Source organism: Homo sapiens, chromosome 3 (genome assembly GCF_000001405.40).
Source record: "Homo sapiens chromosome 3, GRCh38.p14 Primary Assembly".
Taxonomy (NCBI): domain Eukaryota; kingdom Metazoa; phylum Chordata; class Mammalia; order Primates; family Hominidae; genus Homo; species Homo sapiens.
In genome coordinates, this window is record NC_000003.12 from 130,581,544 (window position 1) to 130,609,049 (window position 27,506).

Below are 27,506 nucleotides of genomic sequence, written 5' to 3' on the forward strand. Positions count from 1 at the left end.
TTTCCTTTGAATCCTAGACTGTTTCGTGGATGTTGTGGTGGGATTTGATGTCTCAACTCAGGAGAAAGGGCAGACTTTGCTTGAAGGTCAGCCTTGGATGGAAACCTACCTTCAAGACATCTTACGTGCCATCAGCTCCCTCAATGGAGTAAGCTGTGAGGTGGGCACAGAGACTCAGGTCAGTGTGGCTTTTCAAGTGACCAATGCCATGGAAAAATATTCTCCCAAGTTTGAGATCTACAGTGAAAACATACTGAATAGCTTGAAGGATATAACAGTTAAAGGACCATCTCTTCTCAATGCAAACCTCTTGGATTCTCTATGGGATACATTTCAGAATAAATCAGCTGCTCGAGGAAAGGTAACATGGATTTATCTTATTTGTTGGTCTATGATTGCAATGAACCCTTTTTAATTCATTTTACTTTTTTTGAATACTTTCTTAGGTGGTCCTTTTATTTTCAGATGGATTGGATGATGATGTTGAGAAACTTGAACAAAAATCTGATGAACTTAGAAAAGAAGGTACTGAGTATGGAGAAGTGGGAAGGGAGTGCTTATTAACTTTATAATCTCAGAACTAAATTCTGGCTCTTAAATTTCCAGGCTCTTAAATTTTGAATAACCCTGATTTTGACAATCTCCGTATTCTGTATGTACTAGGCAGAACAAATGAGCTCTCAGAATATTTTGACATCCACTTTTTTCCTCATGCCTCATGTGTATGAAACAGCACTGAATACAAAGTCCTATCCTTTGTTTCATATTACTGTATTTCTTCTTCCTGACCTTTCCTGGAGAATGTTCCTTTCTCTCTCGCCCCACATTGTCTAATATTGCTACTTCTTTAGTGTCACCAGAAGAGAAGAGTATATTTCTCCTTGACCAGGGAATGAGAGTCAGTTTTCTTCTAACACTCTTAAAGTTCCCAGAGTTGCAAGCATTTTTGGATAAATTTACTCATGTTTTGCAGCTTTCTAATCAGTTCCTTCCTTCAGACCATGGATTGGCCAACCATGGTGTTTGAGATTTTTAAGCTCTGGCACCAGGCTTTTGGCTTTTGAACCAAAAGCTATTCTGAGTCAAACAAGAACATGTGGATGTTCTTGTTTAGTCAAACAAAGAAGTTCTTGTTTGACTCAGAATAGAAGTCCTCTTCTGTAAGTGGGTGCTATTTCTGCCCTACCCAGATCTCCTTTACTGGCAGATTCACCTATCCTCTAGCTGCTAACAACTCACAGCTTACTCCTTCTCTGAAGAATTGCCCTTGGACAGTAGAGCTGCCTCACCTGGAAGGTTGCTGTCCACCCCATCCTTGGGCAGCAGATAAGATTACAGAGTTGGACCTTTGCCTCTAAATGACACCAGTGGTGTGCTGCAATTTATGCTCCAGAGCTTCCTGGGATCAGGCTAAATAAAGCTAGACTCCAGCTGCAACACTGTCTTCTTGCTCAGCAACTTCCCCTGCCCTATCCTGTTTTCCTCACTCCCTTTCTTCTGAAAGTGCTTCCTCAACAATTTGTGTACCTCCAAATCCTTATCTCAAACTCTGTTTCTAGGGAACATGACCTAAGACATTATCTCTCAGGTTAGCTAATAGGGGTTGACAGGACTTTGTCTTTTCTATTTTGTTCTCTCTCTCCAGTCTTCAACAAATTGCAAAATTATCTGAGTTTACTACTAGGGAGTAAAGTTTTTATTTTATCCCTTATTTACGAAGTATGCCTTGTTTTTATTCTCTCTGGTCTTGGCCTTTGTTCATGAGCTGTAATGAAGGTTTTAATTAAGACTGAAAAAAGATACTAGAGTGCTTAGTTGGGATGGGTAGGGTTGTTTTGGTGGTTGCTGTTATTTTGTTTTCTTTTATTTCAGCTTTTCCTTTGTGGGGAAAAGGTATTTCTCTTGCAAAGGACAGTAGAGTTTCTTCCAGGAAGTGCTTTGGAATATCCAGAATTCTAAGACCAAGTATCTTTCTTCCAATGCCTACTGAAAAACTAGTAAATGGGTATCAACTTCAGAAGCTATATTTTGAATAATATCCTCAGATATTTAGATTCTTCCAATGGAAGAGAGAAATCATGGCAATAATGTTCTTTGAAAAGTGTCTAGTTCTTTGAAAGTGACCATCTTTGACATGGTTGAGTGTGAATAATTTGGTTACCAGTTTCTTCACCTGTCAGACTTACACCAAGCAAGATCTCAAAGGATCTCCTGAGTTTTTTGGTTTTGTTTTTTTCTTTAATAAAGTAAAGAAAGTGGTTTTCTGTATGGACAAGAAGTATCTCTCTCGCTGGCTTCCCATACTTACACAGGACTTCACTTGGTGCTGGGCCCTATGATCTATTCACCTAGGAAAGCTTCCTTAATTTCAGGCCGGGCATCAATATGTGTAAAGTATGCAATCATCACTGAACAAGAGGAGACAAGGAAAAAACAATCCTTGATGGCGGACGTGGCTGTAAAACTTATGCACATGGAATGGGGCTTAAATTAATTAATTTTTTAGAATTGAATACCCTAGAATCTACTCAGTGATTCTTTATTCTCCCAAGTTTGAAAATCTTTTCTTTCTTAATTCACTGTTAGAAAATTGAAAACATTGTATTTAGGATCATGTGACTCATTTATTGGATGAGTCTGAAAGAAGATAGGAGTCCCCTGATCCCAAGAAAAACAGTTATAAATAATAGTTATATGCATATTTCTTGCAAGTCAACAATCCCCTGGTTCTTATGACTCTTAAAATTTTACATTTCCTGGGTATTATAAGAAAAATCAGATGACAGAAGGTTTCATTTCTCTTATAAGTAGATCCATTAGCATGCCTTCTCTTGATAACTAAACACCAATTGATGTACAAGCATTTCATATCCCAGCCCACTCTACAACCTCTTTTCTCCCCCTCCTCATTCTCATTCTAGAAGAATGACCGACTATCCTGTTTTGTTGGGAACAAGATGGGAACTTTCAACACTAGAACCAGGAAAGTCCCAGGAAATGAGGACAAATTGTCACCCTATTTTTCTTTGGTGGTTCGTTTGTTCTTTCTTTTTTTATTTTTTTTATTTTTTAAATTAATTTATTTTTTTGAGATGGAGTCTTGCCCTGTTGCCCAGGTTGGAGTGCAGTGGTGCCATCTCGGCTCACTGCAAGCTCCGCCTCCCAGGTTCAAGTGATTCTCGTGTGTCAGCCTCCCGAGTAGCTGGGACTACAGGCGCCTGCCACCACACCCGGCTAATTTTTTGTATTTTCAGTAGAGATGGGGTTTCACTGTGTTAGCCAGGATGGTCTCTATCTCCTGCCCTTGTGATCCGCCTGCCTCGGCCTCCCAGAGTGATGGGATTACAGGTGTGAGCCACCGCACCCGGCCTCTTTCTTTCTTCCACTGCAGCTAACCATTCTGTTTGCCTCTCTTGGAACTTGAACCTCTCCAATATGTCCCTGAAACTTCATTCTCTTGATTTCTCTCTTCATCTACTCATTTCATATAAAATCATATCATATAAATTTATTTAAGAAGGTGTTCTTGACTCTCAGCCAAGTCCTTGAACATTTATCTATTCTGGTTCATTGGTACCCAATTCTCATCAAAGGATTCTTTACCCATCAATAATAAAATGAGAAAAATGTTGCCAGTGGAGTAAGGTTTACATGAAGCTAAACGTATTTGATTTTAAGACTGCCCTTTATTCCAAGATTATATCTTTAGCACATTTTTATTGTCAGAATATCCTTTGAATGTAGGCTATGGAATTAGGCTATCTGGGTAAAAAACCTAAAAATACCACTTACAGGCAGTCATTTAACCTCTCCAAGTCTGTTTGCTTGTCTGTAAAATAGGACTATAATTATACATACCAATAGAGTTATATTCGAACCTTACAAATAAGATAATGCATGTAAAGCACTTAACCATTTCCCAGGCACACAGTTTCTATCAACAAATGATAGCACTGTTGTTGCTGAATTACTTCCTCCACCATAATGACTGTCAGATTTATTACCATCATTATTTAATGTTCTTACCTAGCAAAATAAGTCATTGGCAACCCTATGTTGGTCCTTAACCAACAGTTTTCTTTGAAATAATTGTATTCATAAAACCCCAAAGCCTCCGAGCCACAGCTCCTGGATGATTGTGTGTCATCTGTTCCTAATTGCCTGACAATAGGCCTGTTACTCTTTTACTACTTATAGGTGCAACTGGGTTATTGATGTCTTATCAGATCGTACAGAGCTGTGCTTTTCAGATTTTAATGTGTATACAAATCACCTGGGGATTTTGTTAAAATACAAATTCTGATTCAGTAAGTGTGGGATGGGGCCTGAGATTCTGTATTTCTGATAAGCCCCCAGGTGATGCCAGTGCTGCTGCTTCAAGGATCCTCCACTGAGTGGCAAAAATGTAGAACATGTATTTTCTGTTTTTGAGACAGGGTTTTGCTCTGTTGCCCAGGCTGGGGTGCAGGGGCACAATCACAGGTCACTGCAGGCTCAACCTCCCAGGCTTAAGCGATCCTCCCACTTCAGCCTCCCATGTAGCTGGGACCACAGGCATATGCCACCATGCCCAGCTAATTTTGTAAAATTTTGTAAATTTTTTGTAGAGGTGGAATCTTGCCATGTTGCCCAAGCTGGATTTTCTTAGTGTGTGAATTTCTCTTTACTTTAGCATGCTCTGTAGATCTTTTAGAACTGTCTCCTTCAAATCAAGGAACTGGAAGTTGTGTTACAATTTTCCCTGTCTCCAATTTATTTAGTTTTGAAAAACATAATTCCTTTTGTACTCTTATTATAGTCTTGTCACTTGTCAGGTTTACATCATGTGTTTGGGGGAAGTGGACAGTAAACTGACTGTTCTTCTTGCAGCTGTTCACTGAGAATAACAATTTAAATATGCTTGCAAAAAACTAAAGTAACCAAACCCACCTCACCTGGAACATTGTAAACTGTGTTGGATAGGCCTGAATGCCCTCATAACTGTTGCTCTGGATGGACCTGCTGATTCAAGTGACTTGGCTGATCTTCCCTATATTGAATTTGGGAAAGGATTTGAGTACAGGACACAGCTCTCTATTGGCATGAGAGAACTTGGAAGCCGGCTGTCAAAGCAGCTGGTAAGTTATTCTGAAAAGGCTGGTGAGCTTAAATTTTCAATTATTTTGTATATAAGTTTAATACTTATGCTTAAGAATTTGAACTTACTGTGTTTATTTGGGAGTGAAGAAAGGTTTTTATGAATTAGTGAACAGCCTAAGTAAGAGGGTTTGTTTGGAAGAAATGTAATACAGTAAAGAGATGTCAAAGCATGTTTAATTTATACACTGGGCAAAAATAGGAGGAGGAAAGAGGGAAAAAGAAGAAAATTTAAATAGCACCCACAATCATGTCCAAATTATAGCCAAAGAACATAAGTGACAAAAAGAATCTGAGATGCGAGCGTGAATCGGCCGTTAACCTCCACCAGCCAGTTTTCACACCGCTTGCAGATCCTAGGCATAACAGCTTTCCGTACTGAGTGTAATTCTAGTGTTTAAGATGTGTATTTTTCCTGGGATAAGGCCTGTAAATGAAAGCAAATTACATTTGGAGTTCAACTAGAGAAAGAGCAATCTGCTCTAAAGCTGGAGGAAATGCCTAGTGACAGTAAACCTCACATGTTGTACTTTATGAGCAATTGAAAGATTAGGGGTTGTGACTCCTTGAGATTTCTACCTTATATTCTCTTTGTTTGTTTGAGACAGTCTTGCTCTATCGCCCAGGCTGAAGTGCAGTGTTGTGATCTCAGCTTATTGCAATCTCTGCCTCCCGGGTTCAAGCAATTCTCCCTGCCTCAGCCTCCCGAGTAGCTGGGATTACCGGCGCCCGCCACCATGCCCGGCTAATTTTTGTATATTTAGTAGAAACAGGGTTTTGCCATGTTGGCCAGGCTGGTCTTGAACTCCTGACGTCATCTTATGTTCTATTTTTAAACCTAATGCCTGTATAAGATGTATCTCAATTGTATTTCTTTCAAAAACATACGAGAATTCAAACTCAAGTGGTAAAGTGTCAGCAAGCTCTGTGTGGCTCTACTTCTACTTTAATGAATTGCTAGTAATTTTGTAATTTGCTTATAACTTATAAAATCTTTAATCAGTATATGAGAACACTTTCCAAGGAAGTGCTAGCTCCTGCTGTTTTCCACCTATAAAATTCATATACACATAGGTATTTAAGCAGCTTGTTCAGTGTTGTAATTATGTAAAAATAATTACATATAGAATATGAAAGTTTTGTTGGAATTCCTTTCTACATGGGAAGACAGTGTTTTTACAAAATGTGTCTTTTTTTCCTGTCGACTACTGTTTGAAATCTCTTTGGTAATTCATAGAGGAAGGAAATTCTTCTTCAAACAAACCTCTCAGTTTTTGTATATCATATAAATGGAACACTCTACAAGAAAAACTTAATCATAGATCAGTTTTAATGTTAATAGTAATAGATTTGATGCTGTAGAATTTTGGTGATCCAAAGAAAATTGATGTTATCTGATATAAAATCATAGTATCCATTTTGTTATTGTTTGCTTTCACACATTTCCAGTTTGGTTGCTTTTTCTGAAATTGTCAGGAAAAAGAATTTCATAATGTCAGAAAAGGAACATTATATAGTAGGAAACAATCAAAGGGAGAAAATTGCTAAATGACTATAACAAAAGATTTTCATTTTTCATTGCACTAGAAATTTATTGGGAAACTTCACAATACAAAGATTGGTTCTGCCCCACTAAAGTGAAGTATAACATTTATCTGAAAATAGAATTTTTCTAAAAGTAAATCTGGTGAGTTAATTGTAAAAATGTAAAGCAATATGTCATCTATTCAAGGGATGGCTGGGTAAGTCCAGGATGACATTTATTAATGTTTTAAAATATATGATATAGATGTTTTTACCAGAGTATAAAGAGTAATATTCTCCTGTGCCCCAATCCCCTACAGCAAGTGCTTCCAAAATATTGCACGTGTAAGTTGTGTTTTTGAAATCCTATCAGAATTGCTTTGGAAGAGTTAACCATTGGACTTAGTTCCAAGACATGTTACATTGGGCACTGTCTAAATTCTCTAGCATACCAAGATTTCACAAAATGAGGAAAATAGCATGCATTCATTTTATTGAACAAAATATTTGGGGCAGAAATATATAGGGAAATCGACAATATCATAGTCAGTGCTAGAGTGAGATGGGGCAGGGACAGACAACCACATCAGTTGGCATGCAGTCAGTTTGCCATAGCTAAACTGATACCAATTTGAAAACACAGAAACATTTTTGAGTTGATTTGGAATACCTGAAATGGTGGAGAGTGCAGATGATAGAAGAAAAGATGGAAGCAAAAAAAAAAAAAAAAAAAAAAGTTTCATGCATTCTTTCTAAAGCACAGTCATTTGAATGGTGACCAGGCTTCTGAAACTGTGGTAGAAGTCTGGATCGCATGGTTGAACTTGTATATGAGATTTGGGAAGCAATACCACCAAATGTAATGTATTTCTTACCCTCTCCCAAGGTCAATGTTGCTGAAAGGACATGCTGCTGTTTGTTCTGCAAGTGCATTGGAGGAGATGGCACAATGGGAGATCCTGGACCACCAGGGAAAAGGGTGATTTTAGCTCAGATTTATGGGTTACTTTGAGTTGTAGTATGTCCTTCAGACATGGGTTTAAGTAGAAATAAGGGGTGATTTTTAACTTCTAAATAGAGCCTCTTATATAAGAGTTTATTATACTCCTCTTTTTATATGTTAAGTTAGTCATGGATTTTCCTTGGCATTCTAAATTGGAGTCTTTTTTAAAAGTTTTTGTGGAAGACTCAGGAGAAACAACTGTCAAGATCCTTGATTATCCAGTATTCTAGTACTGATGACAATGATGCAGAAAAATCAGCTATAATTCCTCATGTTGGATAATGAAAGCCTCCTCCATGTGAATAACGCATTTCAGCATTCATTTTTAATGATGGCAGAGTTATTAAAATCAAAGCGAAGATACTTTGTGTACTCTGCTGAAAACCAGGCTAGATCAGATCACTCTCTTATAGCAAAAGATGTTAAGATGTCTCATTCATCTTAAGCCAGGTCAAAATGTTATCACAGATATATAAACAAAAACAGGCTCATTATTTAAAAACAGAAACCAACAACATTGATTCATATATTTCCTAACCAGAAAAAGTATATGTACCCTTATGTGAAAATATTATTTTGAACTTTAAGAAATGTTTAAATACATATAAACACTGTGGATATGTTATAATGATTTCAATACAGTTTGTTTACATGTGTTTTATTTTTGAATAATTTATAGATAGCACTGTAACTCCCAAATCACCAGGGCTATGTCTCTGAATATGTCTCTGAAAGTTTTTGGACTAATTATTTCCTGAATGTTTCAGCTTCATGTAAAGAGAGTGGTAGATTTTTTTAAAAAACAAGGCTCAGAAAGAATGGAAAGAAAGGTGTGTGGTCTATTTTTCTATGTGTAGCATAAATCTTAAAAGATTTTTTAATAAACGGAGAATAATTCTAGTTTATCAGTGGCAAATATAGCTGTGTTGACTTGAATGTTTAGAAAGAAGCTCTGGAACTATATATAAACCCAGATTTACAATATTATGATTGACACCCCCTTGAGTTCACTGGACACTTGTCTCGAAATTCCATTTCTTTTTTTTTCATATATATATATATATATATATATATATATATATATATATATATATTTTTTTTTTTTTTTTTTTTTTTTTTTTTTACTATAAGTTCTAGGGTACTTGTGCACAACGTGCAGGTCTTTTACATATGTATACATGTGCCATGTTGGTGTGCTGCACCCATTAACTCGTCATTTACATTAGGTATATCTCCTAATGCTATCCCTCTCCCTCCCCCCACCCCACGACAGGCCCCTGTGTGTGATGTTCCCCTTCCTGTGTCCCAGTGTTCTCATTGTTCAATTCCCACCTATGAGTGAGAACATGCGGTGTTTGGTTTTTTTGTCCCTTTTTTTTGAGACGGAGTCTCGCTCTGCCGCCCAGGCTGGAGTGCAGTGGTGCGATCTCGGCTCACTGCAAGCTCCGCCTCCCGGGTTCACGCCAGTCTCCTGCCTCGGCCTCCTGAGTAGCTGGGACCACAGGCACCCGCCACCACACCCGGCTAATTTTTTATATTTTTAGTAGAGACGGGGTTTCACCGTGTTAGCCAGGATGGTCTCGATCTCCTGGCCTCTTGATCCGCCCGCCTGGGCCTCCCAAAGTGCTGGAATTACAGGCATGAGCCACCACACCCGGCCAAAATTCCATTTCTTTTTATGTGTGTAAATGCAACCTACATTGGGAAGGAAGGACCATTTTTTTCAAACACTTACTATTCCACATGAAGTAAAACTGTAAAACTGAATTTGGTTTGGTTACCTCTGATTTTTGGTCCATAGATGCAAATGTTTTCTTCCTTTTCTTATTTCCAGGGACCTCCAGGTTTTAAAGGCAGTGAAGGCTACCTGGGAGAGGAGGGAATCGCTGTAAGTCAGGGCTCTTTTTTACCTCCATTTATCCCTAAAAACATCTACAATATGAATTTCCTTGAGTCAATTCAGGGGGAAGCAAGAAAGGTGAGATTCTAAGGATTCGTGTACAGAATCTCAGATCTTCTTTTGTCCTCATTGTGCTTTGCTTCTGGTGGTCATTAGTGGTTTATTGACCTATTGTCTCTTCTTTGACTACCCACCAACATTGCACAATGAATTCAATGCGGAAGTAACCTCCTTCACTAGGGGAGTTGAATCACTGCTGTTTCCCCCATTCTGGAGCATTCTGTAAAGGTAAACCAACTCACCACATTGTGTATCAAGGACCCCACTCTTTCTTGCATTCATTCATCCTTCCTTCCTCCCATCAATCCATCCAAACATTTGTTTACCAATTATATATAAACATCTTACCATTTCCTACATTATTTTATCAAAGACCTCACACTTTAACATACTCATTCATTGGTTCATTCAACAAATATATGTTACATATATGTGTGCCTGGCAGATTATCAGATACTTAACAAATATTTGTAGGCTTCAGCAATAAGAAAAATAAAAGGAAAAATATGGTTTCTACCTCCAGGAAACTTTCAAACTAGTAGAAATGCAAATGAGACAACAGTGATTCTGGTTGTTTTACACAAGGGCTAGACTAGAAGTATAGAGACATGCAAAGGAGTGTGGCAGAACAACTCAGTTACCTAACAGCCTTAGCTAAAGTTGGGGCTTGAGAGGGGAACGCTGCGAACAAGGAGTAGTACTTGGGCAGACATTTGAAGGATGAATAGGAATTTCTACAGGCAAAGTTTGGGGGAAAAGTATGTTCAAGGGCATGTATCTGAGTCAGAGAAGATCATGTTCATAAGATGGCACATGGTTAACATGGATGGAACCCAGGTCACTGCAGGAGGAAGATATATGTGGCAAGTAAGACTCAGGTTATTGGGAGTCTTGAATCCCCTGCTGAAGATTTGGATTGTGTCTTCTAGTTGGTGGGCAGTCACTGAATGGTGGGAAGCACAGGGGTCAAAATTATGGGAGTGTTTAGAAAGCATGCTCAAGCAACATTACAGATGATGATAAGGTGAAGGTTTATAGGTAAGTCTTGCAGTCATAGATGCAAGACAGGTCCTAATTTGTGCTTAGGACAGTATGACTAGATATGTTAAGAAGGTTGGAAGGACGTAACTTGGTGACCACTTGGTGAGAGAGAAGTCTCACACAGGCAGTATGCAAGTGGGATCCAAAGCAAAGGGCTGTCTATCATCAGGGTATCTCTGATTTATTTCTACTCTTAGTTTTTATAAGCAAGAACTCTGGATTGTGAACCATGAGCATTCACACTTTTTTTGGTAACAAAAAACTTGTCAAGTTTTCAAGACAGATCTCAGATTACAATAGAAAAAGCTCATTTGGATATGTGCCCTTTCTCAGGGAGAAAGAGGAGCCCCTGGACCAGTGGGAGAGCAAGGTACTAAGGGATGCTATGGCACCAAAGGTCCTAAGGTAAGGATTGCATAAGAGTGTGGAGTTTTCTCAATATTAATTACATTTTCCTACACTAACTATAACTGTCCTTTTATTTTCAGGGAAACAGAGGACTAAATGGACAGGAGGTATGTTACCAGGCACATCCATTTACCTACCCATATGTTATCTAGAAATATTTTTATTTTTGAGATTATTTATCAGTAAATTATACAAATAAAGTTGTCATTGACTTTCCTTTTTTATTGCCAGCCATTTCATTTTGTTTCTTCTTCTCTTTCATTATAGGCAATACATATTATTTGTTGATAGTTTCTATTACTGAGTAACCTTTAATATTAATAACCCAGGCCCAGCCTCACAAGGAGGCTGTATGTGAAACACAAAAATAGAGTTTTTGTTTGGCATCTGACTTCTTTACACATGCACGTGATGTACTCTGTTCTAATCATATCTATCTTTTCAGGGAGAAGTTGGGGAAAATGGAATTGACGGATTAAACGGAGAACAGGTAGAGCCTTCTTGTACCATAGAGACCCTTCTGAGCTATTTACCATTATGAAAACGAGAATTCTATTAATAGCTTTCCCTTCTTGTTTTTTAGGGTGATAATGGTCTTCCTGGAAGAAAAGGAGAAAAGGGAGATGAGGGATCTCAGGTAGGGATTTGAAAAGGAAGAACATAAAAATTGTACTGGGGATTAAGGGTGTGATTAACAGAGTAGAATACTCAGTCAGCTATTGCTACAAAACTGTTTTGTGACAGTCATAAAACCTCAATCACATACAACGATGAACATTTATTTCTTATGTTTCTGAGGGGTTCAGCCGATTGAGGCTGGACATGGCTCATGTCTGTAAGGTGGCCGGGGGCTTTACTCCATCTGTCACTTACCCTCCTGGGACCAGGAGCTAGCCTAACCATGCTAGCCATGACCTTTTTATGCCCATGGCAGAAGCACAAGAAAGCAAGTGGAAACATACTAGAACTCTCAGGTCTTCTTCAGACCTAGGGTCAGAACTCTCTCAACACTTGCATCTCTTTCTGTTGGCCAAATCAATGCATATTGCCAAACTCAGAGGAAGGGAATCTTGCCCACCACAGTTGGAAGTCATTGTAGAGTTACATGGCAAAGGACACAGGAATAGGGAGAGGTGAAGAACTGGGGCCATCAATGACAAGCAACTACCATAGTAAGAATAGAAGTGGGGTGTTGACAAGGGTCAGTGGTGCCAGGCAGCACATTGAAGAGTGAATGTCCCTCATGCCCACCTAGAATAAATACCAACAGCAGCCATATTTTCATCCTCTACTTTGTCTTTAGAGTGTGAACAATTGAGTCAGAAACAACCATCTTGGGCAAAGTGCATATTCTTTCTGAATCTCAGTTGCCTTATAAAAGAAAGATAATAAGGAATACCTGGTTCATAGAATATTTGTAAAAAACAAGATGACAAGTGTGTCTGGAACACAGAGTTCACCACTGTGGCAAATAATTGAGTTCACTATTAAATTATTTATATGGTGCTTGAAACTAATTTTTTCGGTTGTTCATCTTTCCAGCTTAAAAATAGCCTTTGTAGAAAAATATTTAATTATTCACACCAGGGAGAAGAAAAGCTCTGTTTTTATTAATTTTATTAAAACTTCTTGTCTTGTTTTTCTTCTGATTTGTATTAACTTTAGGGAAGCCCAGGGAAGAGAGGGACTCCTGGTGACCGTGGAGCAAAGGGCCTGCGAGGGGATCCCGTAAGTGCACGGGCTGCAAACTGGAGTTAGGGCTTGATTCCCATCCGTACTTCTGATAGGGAGTCTCGATTTCAAGGTACTACAATAGTAACCCTGAGTTTAAAACACCACAGGCATGATTGTAACATTTTAAATTCAGGTACCTGTGCTAGATCCTCTTCATATACTGAATGAGTATGAGCAGTAAAAAGCCCTTACATGTCTTTTGCAAATGCAATTTTGTAAATACATACTCAGAATTGTTTTTGTGCTTCAAAACAATGAAGAAATTCTGGTCCACTTCATTATCTTCCAAGCACCTCAAAATACAAACACAATGACAGAAAGAAAGCCATGTCTTTTTTTTCTGTTCTTGTGTTAGTCTGTTCTCACATTGCTAATAAAGACATACCTGAGTCTGGGTAATTTATAGAGGAAAGAGGTTTAACTGACTCATAGTTCCACATGGCTGAGGTGCCCTCACAATCATGAAGAAAGAGCAAAAGGACGTCTTATATGGCAGCAGGCAAGAGAGCTTGTGCAGGGGAACTTCCATTTATAAAACCATCAGATCCCATGAGACTTACTCACTACCACAAGAACAGTATGGGGGAAACCACCCCCATGATTCAATTATTTCCACCTGGCCCCACTGTTGATATGTGGGATTATTACAATTCAAGATGAGATATGGGAGGAGACACAGCCAAACCACTATCAGTTCTCCAAGAATTTTTCTCAAGAATATCAGTCTCATTTCCTGTAACCCAGGCCAAGTAGAATTATATTAGGCAAAACTTATGACATAAAGGCACTGCCCTTGCAGGAGCACAACCCAGCTGAGTAGGCAGGACCCATGTTAAAGAAAAAAAAAAAGATACCAATATATAGGGAATATGCCAAGTCCGATAGAACATCAGTACTATAGGATTTTCATCACCATACCCACACTTAAGTAAGTCTCCAAAACCTTAATGAATTAAGATTTAGCTTTGTTTTAAAATGTTTATTGAACTGTAACATACATCAGAAAAGTCCCTGAGTTATAAATACACAGCTTAATGAATGTGAATACACCTGTGTAGTCACCACCAGGTAAAGAAATAGAACATTACCAGCATCTCAGAAGCCCCCTCATGCCCACTGCAGCCACTACTCACCTTCCCCCAAGGTAATCACTATCCTGTCACTATTAATTAGTTTTATGTGTTCTAGAACTTGATATAAATGGAACCATATAAGTGTCTGCTCTTTTTTTCTGGCTTCTTTTGCTTTATACTTGTAAGATGAATCAATGTTGTGTATAACAATAGTTCATTCAATTTCGTGGCTGCATTGCATAGTATTTCATTGTGTGAATATACCATGATTTATTTGTTATACTAATGATAGGTGGGTTGCTCCCAGTTTTTGCTTTTATAAGTAGTGCTGCTATGAATATTCTTATATATGTCTTTTGATGCACTTTTTTACATATTTATATTGGGTCTATATTTTAAGAGTAGAATTTCTGGATTATAATGTGTATGGCCATACTCAGATTGTCTTTACAGTCAAATGGTTTTCAAAAGTTTGTATTTATTTATACTCCCACTAGCAATGTATGAGAACGGTATTACACACTCATCAGAATGGTTACAATTTATAAAAAGCAATACCAAGTGCTGATAAGGATGTGGGACACCTGGGAATCTCATGAGGATTTTTGTTTTCTTTAATATAACCTCTTGTATACAATGGGTTGATCAGAGAAGGAATTTGATGCAATATATATGAACATGTAAATGTTAGGCAACTGTATTTAAAAACAGAGGAATTTGCGCATGAGGAAAACATTGTTGACTAAGTGACATCTTCTGATAATGGTGTCCTGAGAATTTTCAACTTCAAAGAATCTAATTTAGAACCAAAGAACTATCCACATATAAGCACAACTTAGAAATATTAGTTCAAATACAAAGACGTTTCAGTTATCCATATATGATGACCAAAAATTCATTTGGGGCATTGCTATATAACCTCCACTGATTTTGATCAGAATTTCTCCTAAATTGTCTGCTAAAGATCGTGTGATTGTGTAACATATTTTAAAGAGTCTGAATAATGTAAAGAGCTTTCTATTTTAAAAGAAATGCTCTATGACTTCCAACTGTAAAACAACTCTGTTTTTTTACATGTGGCTTCAGTGCATTACTATTTCAGGAAAAATTGGGGATAAATAAATAGAACACACATGATCAGTTTATTCTTAGGAAAGCATGTAAATGATGCTAATTTTTGAAACCCTAAGTTTATTCAGATAGGATTTATGATCACATGGAAGTGCATTTGGCTGTTTGGAATTTCCCATCTTGACGAGCTGTTTGGAATTTCCCATACTGACTGGAAGTGTTTGTTTAATGGGTGCAACACACCAACATGGCACATGTATACATATGTAACAAACCTGCACGTTGTGCACATGTACCCTAAAACTTAAAGTATAATAATGATAAAATTTTTAAAAAAAGAAATATTGGGGGAAAACAGTTAAATTATTTGATCTATAGAGGCTATAGTAAGGTTCATTTTGACAATATATTATTATAAGCCCATGTTTAATTGTAAATTTGTGGAAGATAATGCTTTTTTACCCAGTTGTATACGTATAGAAAGACTAAATCGGTTCAGATTCACATTGACCAACTGTCTGTATGCAATTTGGGTTGTTCTGTTCTGTAAAATGTGCTGGTATATGATTCTTTTTATGTTATCTCTTCAAGTAGTTTAGAATTGAACTACAATAAGGGGCTTTTATGTCCAGTGAAATAAAATTCTGGACTTTACGTGACCTTCCTTTTCCTTCCCTGCTTTTTCCACCAAAATACAATTTTCTGATATTGTAATTGAGGTATACCCTGCTTGGAGAACGTAAGAGACAAATATTTAAACTTAAGGAAGAAAAAGAAGATACAGAAAATGATATTTGGCTTTGGTAGGTGGAGGAAAGAAGCAATTTTTCACCTACATTTTAGTAATATCAGTGTTATAAAGTAAATTCCAAACCCATCTTTTTCATCCCATTAACTTATAAGCTCTGTAAGTACAAAACCATTTGTTTAAAAAGCTTACTAAGTATCTGGAACAATGATATGTCCCTGCTGGTGACCGCAAATTACTTATTGATTGATGAAGGAAATCTGAGCTGCTATCAGCCCAGCAGCCCCATAGCTGGCACTCAGCAGGACTGGATAATTGTTGTCCTCTCTCAGTTTATTGGAGCATTGACTGAATTGACTAGCTCAACTGATTGTCTCAACATCATGGAGACACAGCTCTGTTTGTGGTTCATACGACTCAAGCAAGAAAGACTTTGGTTTGGCCTGCTAAAGAGAATATCCCACAACGTATGCTTGTTGTCAGTGAGTTCCCGGGAAATAGTTGCATGAATAGTGGGGAAAATTCAAAATTTCAGGATTTTTTGGAAACTGGAAAAGTAGGGGTGAACATATGGGTGTAGCATATGGGAGTGCCCAGGTGTCCAGGAAGAGAAAGAGGGAGCTGGTGGCAGGTAGAATCTTCAGTGTCACTTAGTGTGCTTATTACATTATCAGAGTGGAACCCATTACAAATTTTGTCTTTTCCCAAGGGTATGGTAGAATAAAATCTACCAACTCTCAAGTGTAACTTTGCCTAGCCTCCAAGAAAAAAGAGGAAAAGTTAAGAGAAGGGGTGGCAGTAACAAGAGGGATTTCCTCCAGACCCAGGGTAAGAGTTGCCATGCACATAATTCACATCACCCTGGCTTGCCTTGGCTGTGCCTTCTATGGAGAGCTCTTTCTCCCCACACACATGCCTTAGGTCTCCGTTCTCTCTCTGATAATGTCAAACACAGGAGGAAAAGAAAATACTTGTAAGCCATCTGTAATTTTAACCTATTTCTGCTTTCAAATGGGTTGGAATTGTCAACTTCTCGAGAGTTAGCTAAGTGTTATACATAAGTTATATGTTTAAGGAGAAATGTCCAAATATATTAATTTTTCTCTTTATTTTCTATTTTTAGGGAGCTCCTGGAGTTGACAGTAGCATAGAAGGACCCACAGGCTTGAAAGGAGAACGTGGAAGACAAGTAATTACGTGGGCTTGTAAAATCGTGATGCAACAACTGTGGGGCTTAAGTTCTTGTTGGTAGAATGTGAAATGCTTAACAAAAAAACTGGAATCAAAGTGGATATACTTGGTACAGAAAAACCATTATTAGGAGCAAAATGATCTTTTCTCCTGCCTATGTACTACTCTGGGATTTGAGAAACATTCTTGCCTTCCTCCTCTAAATTTGGGGTGACTTGATTCACCAAGACACATCCTCGAGGTCTTCATGAATATAAACATTGGAACTCTAACTTAAAATATAGGGCTAGCTGATAGAAAGAACTGTGCTAGCAAAAGAGCTGTTGGCCTTTCCAGTATCTGGAGGTAACATACCCTAAAAAGACATATTAGTAGTACATTATAAAAAGAACAAGATCTGGTAGATAGACGTGGTCCACACAATCAAGAAAAGTTCTTGGGCTTAATCTCATAAGTCACAATGTGGTCATCAAAACCTGTTTTCAGTATTTAAAAATAGTTGTCTAAAAAATGCGTTACTGGATTTTCTTGGATAATGTTCCCTTGATGACTGTACCTAGGAAAGAAGTACGATAAAGTGGAAAGAACTGTGCTTTGGAGACAGCACTGGGTCCTATCTCATGCTCCGTTGCTTACCAGCTCTGGATCCTGGGATACTTTCTGTAAACCCCAATTTTCTTATCTGTAAAATAGGGTGAATAGCCTATTTTAGAAGGTCATGATGGGAATTAATGATATTTAATTTAATGACATTATAACCTTCAGTAAATATTATCTGCCATTATTAGTAAGTGGTAAATGTAAGTCCCATAGAAGACTCATAAATTATTGCATACTTTTGTATCTAATGATCATCTCAAGTGATCATCTAGTGATCATACAAGTCTTTTTATTATGAGACTTTATTTACAGTAAGGTAATAATCTGTTTGATTAGCCAAAAGGATCAAGCAATTCAAAAGTAGAAATCCAAACCAGTAGTAGCCATACCTGACACATAGTATGCTTTAGTTATCCACACTGTGGCAACGTAGTAGGGATAGTTTGAATTATCTGAGACATGTACCCCAAATACAACTTAGACAGTAGTGATGAATGATGAACAGATGAAGCCATGTCATTAGCATTTTTTCCTGCAATTCCTCATGACTTATATAGAAATGTGACTTATGATCAGTAGAGTTCATGCCATTTTCCAAAGGAAAGGTAACTCTCTCATTGGTGTGTGAACCTATCTATCCTCCCTGGAGTAAAAGTTGATGTTAAAGAGAAACTCTGTCAATGCTGCATAATTACCGTCACACATCTGTCTGTTCCTTTGACAGGGCAGAAGAGGCTGGCCAGGCCCCCCCGGGACACCAGGCTCCAGAAGAAAGACAGTAAGAGCCCTTCTAGACAAGGAGACCCACTGTTTTGGTGGCTCATGTTGTGGTGAAAATGGCTGACTTTGGGGGAGTGGGTGGGATGGTTCTGCTGGAGCTCACTACCTTGAGGAAACTAACTTATGACATCTCGCAGACCAGGGCTGGCAAAGGACTTGGGAAAGCCCTGGAAGCTGAGGTAGGAAAGTGCTGACTGCAGAGCAGATCGCCAGTCAGGAGAGAGAGCTGGGCAAAGAAAACCAAAAAAACCTCCAACTAGGGGAAAAGTGGTCAAAGTGTGGCCTACTAGCTAGGTTGAGATCACCTGTGATAGCGTTTTAAATCCAAATTCTATTCTTTCTTTGCCAAATTGTATGACTATTAAGAAAAGTAAGAATGGTGATTATTAAAGTCAAGAAACAATAGATGCTTGTGAGGATGTGGAGAAATAGGAATACTTTTACACTGTTGGTGGGAATGTAAATTAGTTCAACCATTGTGGAAGACAGTATGACAATTCCTCAAGGATCTAGAACCAGAAATACCATTTGACCCAGCAATCCCATTACTGGGCATATACCAAAAGGAATATAAATCATTCTACTAGAAAAACACATGTACACGTATGTTTATTGCAGCACTATTTACAATAGCAAAGACATGGCACCAACCCAAATGCGCATCAATGATAGACTGAATAAAGAAAATGTTGTACATATACACCATGGAATACTATGCAGCCATAAAAAGGCATGAGATCATGTCCTTTGCAGGGATATGGATGAAGCTGGAGCCATCATCCTCAGGAAACTAACACAGGAATGGAAAACCAAACACCGCATGTTTTCACTCACAAGTGGGAGTTGAACATTGAGAACACATGGACACAGGGGAACAACACACACCAGGGCCAGTCGGGGGTTGGTGGGGCAAGGGGAGGGAGAACATTAGGACAAATAGCTAATGCATGTGGGGCATAAAACCTAGATGAACAGTTGATAGGTGCAGCAAACATGGCACACATACACTTATGTAACAAACCTACATGTTCTGCACTTGTATCCTGGAACTTAAAATAAAAATAAAAATTTAAAACAGGAAAAAAAAAGGGGGAAAGAAAAGAAGTCAGTCCTGGTATAGGCATATCTGAGAGTGAAATTGGATCACTTGCTTGTTGGGGGTGCAGTTTTGGTTTGTTTTTTATTTTATTTGTTATTTTTTCATTAAGTACTTTAAAAAATTTGTGTGCAGAAAAGCACAGAGATGATAAAATATTCAATAAGAAGAGATAACTTTAATAAAATATACTTAGATGCCTACATCAGTGTCTAAATTAGGCTGTCTCGTTTCATTTTGCTAGGTTTTCTTTCCATTCTTTATGTAGTTATCCAGCCTTCAATTTCCCCCACCCCCTCCCAAATAGAAAAATGTTTTAAAATTAAGCACAAGTAGAAACTACTTTAGTATATTGCATTTATTACACATTGTCTTTTCTGAGCAGAAGTTTATAGAGCCAGCTATTACACTCCATCGAAAAATATTTTTTTTATCTTGGAGCATACCCGTGTTCTTTGCAAGGCAGAGAAAATGAAAAGAGATCGTTTAAAATATGCAGAATTTGATTGCTGGAAAAGTGCTTTACTAATGCAGTTTCAACGCTTATAAAGAAATGCATTTGCTATTCATTTCACTTTCTAAAAGGGTGTAGTCAGCTTATATACCCCTGGAAAATATTTTCAACTTAAAGAATATCATCCAGGAAATCCTGGCATGTAAGGATGTACTTTCACTGTTTTATAGCCTCCAGGGGCTAATGCAATATTGCTATGCATTATTTAAACCACACCACTCCCATGAAATATGACCCCCATCTTGGGTTATAGCTTCAGCCATGTCATTCAGGAGTAAAAGTGGGACTTCAGTTGAAATGGCAGAGTAAAGCTGTTTTCACACTATTCCTCTTACGTGCATCTCACCAAAAGCAACAAAAGAAATTAAAAATGGCGAAACAGAGAATAACCACAGCTTCAAGCTGCAAGTAATGACAAATGCCGGCCAACTGTTTTTAAATCTCAACCCTAATGAGTAAGGATTTAGAAAGCTGATACATCAAGTGTGACCTCATGCAGGGATCAGATTTCTTCAAAACTAACTGCCATAGTCCTGAAAAAACTGGTGAGCAAAATCCAGGGACATGGTAGATTTTGAGTGGAGCAGGGAATATACACATAGGGCCATAGTTCAACAGAGGAGGCAAAATGAGAAACTGGAAAATATTCCACTTTTATTATGTACAACTAGCAACCAAGGCCATGGAGGCTGCAAACAATGAGGAGAGAAGTAACAGTGTCTATCACAACACAGGGAAACTATGACTTAAGGGGCTTCATATGAGTGCCATGAATCTCTAAACATCAGTAGTAGAAGGAAGATGTAGCTCTAAGGAAAAAGAAATCATTCGTTTGATGAGAAAGTGTTTGAGGCAACATATCTGTGTCAAAGCCACCAGCCCTGTTCCAGGCACACATCCCCATAATTTCTTCAATAAACAAGTGGTCCTATTCAAAGATGGTGAATGGTCAGGAACATTAATAATCTTTATTAATTAGATGATTAATCAGGACGTAAAGCTGCAAGAGAAAGAAAACCATGGGCAAAGGGCAGATAAAGCCTCATTAGAAGAGGAATTATTCAAGGAAAAATATGAATTCTGGCAAATAGTTCTCCAGGGTCTCAAAGAAGTGAAGATAACATTATTGCTCTTAAAGTTTGAAACACAGACAATAGAAAGTGAAGAAAGCAAGTTGGCAGGGCTTGAGGAGAAATGGAAGGGAAAACAGTAGAGATGTAAGACATGTTAACACCTGACATTTCTATTCTTTGTTTTTTCTTCAAGTAAAATTAGATGTAATATTTTAATTTTAAAAAAGTTTAATATGGTTGCTTTTTAATAAAACACTATTTAGAATTTTATCTGTAAGAATGAGTATAGAAGATGTCAGGAATCATGATTAACATAATATTTCTAGATGGAGGAGTTGGGTGATTTAAAAATTTTTTTCTGTATTCTCTGTATTCAAATATTTTTTAAATCAGCATGCATCATTCTCATAACAGTAAAGTCATTCTTTGAGAAAGTAGAAAAATCTAGTGTTCACTGCAGAACTCTAAAATGAATGTTACAATGAGCATGGAGGACTTGTCAGTGCACTTAGGTTCCACTAAGCGGGTAAGTGATTGGAGGATGGCCAGTGGTAGGAGTGGCATGCGGGGAAATAAACAGCAAATCTGACCTTTACTCATTTGAACACCTACAGTCCACCAGCAACACTACTAAATACTAGAAATAAACTCAACTACAAGCTTAACTAAGACCATCTTTCCTGTCAAGGAACTTAGAATCATGTTGTAGAGTGTGGTTTCTCAGCCTCAGCATTATTGGCATTTGGGTTAAACAATTCTTTGCTGTGGGGGGCTAGGCCTCCGCCCATTAGCTGCCAGTAACACCCCTGACCTGTAACAATGAAAAATGTCTCCAGATATTGCTAAGTGTTTTCTGGGGAAAGGGAGGGTACTAAATCCCCCCTTTCCTGCTGAGAATCACTTTGTAGAGGGGATGGACCTGTAGAGCTAATAAGCTGTTACCAGTGCTATGCTAGCAGACTATAATGAATTGGGGGAAAAGGCAGGAAGGATGGACAAGAAGGAAGAATCTGGGTTAGAATGTGGTAGTTCTGTGGGGGAGATGAGGAAGAAAGGGGGAGCGTCTCTGAGCCAAACCTGAGAATTAGAACAGATTCTTGTGCCAAGGATAATGAGAAGCAACTGTAGCCTCAAATTAATGCATATCCTTCATTCCTAGTTAGTCTAGAGGGCTGTTAGTTATGACTTGCCCTTTTCATCCCTCTTGGCACTCATTTACAGGCATTCTGAAGTGGTGTCGGACAATTGTTCATCATTGTAAATGCTTGCCATTAAGACTTAGTATTAATGTGATGTTTTACCATTCAGAATGTCCTGCTTTTTTCTTGATAATTCTCCATCCTGATGGTTCTATATCTAGGAAATTGGGCCCTGTAAACAACCAGAAAGCCAGGCTTTGGGGGAATGAAGGACTGAGTACCCTGTTCTTGGCCATCTTCTTCTCAGGTCGCTTTGGGGAGATTTTCTTTCCTGACGTGCCCATTCACAGTCTGTTTAAAGATAAGTCAGGTTATCTAGATGTGTTATCAGACATTTGCAAGTCGTTGGGTAAACCATTAAGATATTTTGGAATTTCATCTTTCTCATATAAAACACTTGAAAATTTTAGGCAAAATTGCAAAATCATCTTCCATATTTCCTTGTTTTCTGTCTCTCACAGCAACCCAATATATCTCTCCCATGACTTTCATTTGGAGCTTAAATCCCAAGTAACTGGGCCGGGCGTGGTGGCTCACGCCTGTAATCCCAGCACTTTGGGAGGCTCAGGCGGGCGGATCATGAGGTCAGGAGATCGAGACCATCCTGGCTAACACAGTGAAACCCCGTCTCTACTAAAAATACAAAAAAAATTAGCCGGGCGTGGTGGCGGGCGCCTGTAGTCCCAGCTACTCGGGAGGCTGAGGCAGGAGAATGGCGTGAACCCGGGAAGCGGAGCTTGCAGTGAGCCGAAATCGCGCCACTGCACTCCAGTCTGGGCGACAGAGCGAGACTCCGTCTCAAAAAAAAAAAAAAAAAAATTCCATGTAACCATTAACAAAGGTGCTATGCGATCGTTTCTAGAGATATTTTCATTATTTGTGTGAATGGTGGATTAAAGTCTTTCTCATCCATTAGGCTTATAAACTAACTAGGGTCAGGAGTCAGATTTTGTTCACCACCACCCAGCCCAGTTCCTGGAAGGGAACAGGAACTCAATAAATATGTGTTACAATAATTTATTTTCAGCAAGCCCTTTCAAAATCAAACCTTAAAGACAAAAGGGGAAAAAATGTTTGTTGATGATGTTTGAAACATTGCGACAGCAAGCCAGAGGTAGATTTTTGAAAATGGAGGTCTGTTCCACTTCCGTTAAACATACTGGAAGCTCTTTATTTTGCTTGAATATAAAGTTCCATTCAGTTCCTGTTACCACAACCAGATGTATCCACCTAAAGCTGGGGTCTGACCATGTACTTTTCCAGCTCCAAAAACCCTAGTGGCTTCTGCTAAATGTTGTGGGGACCTTTCAGCCTAGTAACCCTGCTACTTCCCTTTCTTCTCACACTTTTGACACAGATGGCCTTACTGCTGCTACCAAATATGCTTCCTGTTTTTCTGTTTCTACTTCATAGCTTAGGCTGTACCTCTGCTGGAAAGACTTGATACATCCTCTGCCTGTAGGACTGCTACCCATCCTCTGAAACACCCATCTCAAAAATCTCTTCTTCCAGGAAGATTTTCCTGATTTGACCAACTGGATATGATTGCTTTCTTTAAAACTTGTATTTCTATCTTTCCCCTTTTTTATGGCATTTGCAATACTTTGCCTTGTAAATATTTGTAATATTTATCTCCTCCTCCCAAACCCAAAGAATGAGGGTCCCCTGAGGTCAGGACTGTGTGTGTGTGTGTGTGAGATCTTTATGCTGCCATGTTTCCCATCTAGTGTGTTTCGTGGGTAGTATATTTTTCAAATGAAAATATCTATTGCTATTTGTCAAATGGAAATATCTACTGATATTTTTCTGAATAAAAGAGAAGTGAATTGAATCAGAACAGACAAACCCATGTGCTGAAGGAATGGAAACAGCTTATTTTCCTCCCTCTGATAGAAGATTTAGGGTTTCATCTCATGATGATTCATCAGTTTTGTAAAAATAAAATAAAGACTTCTAATCATTTCCCCGAAATACAGTCTGTTTCTTTTATAACAATAGTGTATTGGTCCATTTTCACGCTTCTGAGAAAGACAATACCTGAGACTGGGTAATTTATAAAGAAAAAGAGGTTTAATGGACTCACAGTTCCATGTGGCTGGGGAGGCCCCACAATCATGGTAAAAGGTGAAAGGCATGTCTTACATGGTGGCAGGCAAGACAGAATGAGAGCCAAGTGAAAGGGGAAACCCCTTATAAAATTATCAGATCTCATGAGACTTATTCACTTCCATGAGAACAGTATGAGGGAAACCACCCCCATGATTCACTTATCTCCCACTGGGTCCCTCCCACAACATGTGGGAATTATGGGAGCTACAATTCAAGATGAGATTTGGGTGGGGACACAGCCAAACTATATCAAATAGATTTTGACTGAAATATGATTAGCAGAATTTAAAGTTTGAAATACTGGCCTCTCAGAGAACATCTCAAATTTCAATCAAGACAATTCCGATTTTATTGAATTTTGCAAATGCTGGGTTTTACTTTTACTATAACATTACTGAATGATCCTAGGTTAGACAACAAAATGTCATGGTCTCTTGATTTCCAGGTGTATGAAATATTGATCTAGAATATATCTAGACCCTACACTTACATATGACAGTGGCAGGAAAACTCGATTATGTAGTATCATTTTGATTGAATATTAATATACTGGATTGAGTAGCTTTTGAATGTTTGAGATAATTCTTTCATTTTTCTCAGGTAAGCATATTATTTGGCTTTTTAAAAATAAAATTAGTTTGGCCATCTTTATGTCTGAACTTAATCTATTATAAAGTACATGGAGTCAGTTTTCCCAGTTTTTCCTCTGGCCTCCTGCCTTTTGGCTAGTTTACCCCTGATTCCTGGATTCCTTGGTAGTGCTTAAGGAAAAATAAAAGAAATAAAATTCAAATAAGTCAATTTGCAGCTTGTGAACAGCTCTAGTAAAAGTTTAACAGAGAACAAATTATTGACCACAGTCTGTTCTCATAAGTATCTGTAGATTTCAATTGTCTATTATTTCTATTGTCAGTTATTTCAAGGAGACAAATATTCAATTGCCCTAGGATAGAAATTTAGATTTAGCAGTATTTTGCTTTCATGGTACAGTGGAAAATTGAATGTTGTAAGCACTATGTGGGAATTGTTATGTATGTTGGTGCCTTAAAGTGTCCATTATGAATTTAAATCATATATAAAAAGCATTTTTTCTGAATTAATGATATCCACCTTTTCTTCTATTTTAGGCAGCTCATGGCAGAAGGGGACATACAGGCCCACAGGTACAATGATTTTTCCCCTTAACTCCAAATAACAAATACTGCATCCAATCAGGGAGCTGGAATAAAGTCTCTGTAAAGTCTCTAAACTTCCCTTTTTGATGATATTGGTTATGGAATAGAAAGCTGAAAAAATTTTAGGTTAAGATTTTAAGAGTTCATATTTTAAAATGATGTGGGAACTTTGGTCAAAAACCATAAAAAATAATGGCCAGAGATGTACTTAGCACAATTATTGTTAAATTTAACTTTGCTTGGATTTTAAGTACAAACTTGAATAACTTAGTAGATGACCCTTCTTTTACATTTTCATTTAACTTTGGAATCTTACAATTATAAAAAACCCCATATAAGCCAAAAGAATACAATAAAACTCTTGTACAAATTGGATATTCTGAGTATTTTGTTCAAAAAGTTGGTTAAATCAAAAACCATATCCCATTCTCATTGTGTATGTTGGTGATACATTATATGTGTTTCATGAACCTATAATATTTATGAAAGAGTGGTTGTGACTTATAATTTTATAAAACACACATCCTCAGATTAAAAATACAATGAGGATAAATAATCCACTCTCAATGGCAACATGGTGAGACTCCAGAATGTTAAAGATAAAAAGCATCTTAAAAATTACCACAGAGAAAAGATAGCTTTACTCATGAAAAGAATGAAAAATTAGATTGCAGCAACTTCTGTTCAGCAGTAATACATGCCAGAAAATAACAGAGTAATAACCTGAAGGTACAGTGGAAAAATAATCGTTAACTTAGAATTTTATACCTAGCTAAACTATGTGTAATGTAAAATAGACACTTGTAGACAAAGAGACCTTACCATCCAGACATTATCCCTCCCTCCCACATACTTTTTATTTATCTGTTTCTGCTTCTGTAACAAAATACCTTAAACTGGTAATTTATAAACAACAGAATTTTATTTCTTATAGTTCTAGAGGCTGGGAAGTCCAAGATCAAGACATGAGCAGATTCAGTGTCTAGTGAGGGCTTGCTGTTCACTCTAGAAATGGTGCCTTCTTGCTGCATCCACACATGGCAGAAGGGGCTGACAGCTACCTTGAACCTCTTTATAAAGGCACTAATCTCATTCAAGAGGATGGAGTCCTCATGACCTAATCACCTCCTAAAGGCCCCACCTGTTAATACTATTGCATGGAGGATTAAGTTTCAACATACGTGTTTTGAAGAAATGCATGCATTCAGACTACAGCACATTTCAAGTTTAGACTTCAGCAAAAAGGAGAACCTACCTAGTAAAATGGCATGATATAAATGAAATGAAATTGGAGAGAGAAGATGTTAAAAAATTTTTTTCTGATTTCTAGGAAAAGGTATCTGTAAGTGACATTTAATCACATCCAACTATATAACAACTGAAATATAAACTTAGGCTCTCCTAATAGTTGCCTAAATTATAAACTTCTTGAATTCGTTATGCTTTTTATAATTCTTGTCTGTGACAGAATTCAAGAACAATATGAAGAGAATGCTCAACTTTTGTTCCCTAGATATTTAATTGATTTGAATATAAATATTAATATAATCGTGTAAGATGCTTGAAGATGTTTGAAGAAAATGTGAACTAAATTTTGAGTGTTTTTAAGGCCACATAGCTAAGTTAGATATAATACAAATTTTATAAGAAAGGGGTGGGGGCTGCATGTGTGCATGCATGCATATATATAAAGATGGAAAGGAAATACACCAGCATACTAGCTATGGTTATCTCTGATGAGATTATAGATTTTTATTTTCTTTGTATTTGCATTTATTTTTCACCTTTTTTTTTTTTTTTTTTTTTTTTTTTGCAAAGATCCTGCATTGACATTGTGACTGAAAAAATATTTGTAAGCTTGCAGGTAAAGGAGACAAAATGTTCAGGAAACAGTGTTAACAGATTGATTCTTTCTCGCCACAGGGAACAGCAGGCATCCCAGGACCAGATGGACTTGAAGGCTCCCTGGGACTTAAGGGCCCTCAGGTACATATCAAGACCAATCAGGGTGTGAGAACATAAAGAAGAATCTGGGAATGGAAAAATCTGAGGACCTGATAGAAACCTTCAA

General features: G+C 37.8%; 1 protein-coding gene across 16 annotated transcripts in view; it reads left to right on the plus strand.

The window, feature by feature from the left end:
• Positions 1-27,506, plus strand: part of COL6A6 (collagen type VI alpha 6 chain) — a 160,323-nt gene that overhangs the window by 64,824 nt on the left and 67,993 nt on the right. For 15 of the 16 annotated variants that reach the window (XR_924103.3, XM_017005713.3, XM_017005711.3 and 12 more), the window contains 14 exons: positions 18-361; positions 447-525; positions 4,963-5,117; positions 7,547-7,639; positions 9,498-9,551; positions 10,998-11,069; positions 11,153-11,179; positions 11,518-11,562; positions 11,656-11,709; positions 12,738-12,800; positions 16,822-16,887; positions 18,214-18,267; positions 25,388-25,423; positions 27,359-27,421. Coding sequence is in view for 15 of the 16 variants with exons in the window: in XM_017005713.3 (XP_016861202.1) it covers positions 18-361; positions 447-525; positions 4,963-5,117; positions 7,547-7,639; positions 9,498-9,551; positions 10,998-11,069; positions 11,153-11,179; positions 11,518-11,562; positions 11,656-11,709; positions 12,738-12,800; positions 16,822-16,887; positions 18,214-18,267; positions 25,388-25,423; positions 27,359-27,421 (1,205 nt within the window). In the remaining variant the exon portion in view is untranslated. Of the gene's footprint in view, positions 1-17; positions 362-446; positions 526-4,962; positions 5,118-7,546; positions 7,640-9,497; positions 9,552-10,997; positions 11,070-11,152; positions 11,180-11,517; positions 11,563-11,655; positions 11,710-12,737; positions 12,801-16,821; positions 16,888-18,213; positions 18,268-25,387; positions 25,424-27,352; positions 27,422-27,506 lie in introns of all 16 variants that reach the window. The other variant, XM_011512424.3, reaches the window with a different exon arrangement.